The sequence below is a fragment of the Homo sapiens genome, chromosome 9 (assembly GCF_000001405.40).
Source record: "Homo sapiens chromosome 9, GRCh38.p14 Primary Assembly".
Classification (NCBI taxonomy): Eukaryota; Metazoa; Chordata; class Mammalia; order Primates; family Hominidae; genus Homo; species Homo sapiens.
In genome coordinates, this window is record NC_000009.12 from 87,965,672 (window position 1) to 87,966,440 (window position 769).

The window sequence follows — 769 nt, forward strand, 5'->3', positions numbered from 1 at the left end:
TGGTCTCGAACTCCCAACCTCGGGTGATCTGCCCACTTTGGCCTCCCAAAGTGTTGGGATTACAGGCATGAGCCACTGCACCCGGCCTCTGTTATTTGATATCAAATAACTACACCAGATTTTTGGTTTGTGTATGCACGATAAATCATTTTTTCTCCTTTTACTTGCAAATGTTATATACATTTTAGAGTTCTCTTTGAAGTTCTCTTAGAAGCTTACAGTCTGCAGAAGATGTGGCTGGAGAAATAAACAGAGGCCATATCATGAAAACATCAGACTTTCCTGAAAGCCAAGAACGAGGGTTGAGTATGTTTTCTCTCTCCACTAAGTGCTTGAAGGCCAGCATCTGTAGCAGTGTTAGTCACCCTGAGTGCTCACAGAAGAGTTTATCCACATGAAGCATAAAATAAACATTTTAAAAATAAAGGGAGCCTGGGGCTGGGCATGGTGGCTCACGCCTACAATCCCAGCACTTTGAGAGGCCCGGGCAGGCAGATCACGAGGTCAGGAGATCAAGACCATCCTGGCTAACATGGTGAAACCCTGTCTTGAGTAAAAATACAAAAATTAGCCAGGTGTGGTGGCACGCGCCTGTAGTCCCAGCTACTCGGGAAGCTGAGGCAGGAGAATCACTTGAACCCAGGAGGCGGAGGTTGCAGTAAGCCGAGATTGTGCCACTGCACTCCAGCCTGGGCAACAGAGCAAGACTCCATCAAAAAATAAATAAAATAAAAATAAAGGATGGCTAAGAATAAGTTTCTCTAGTCTG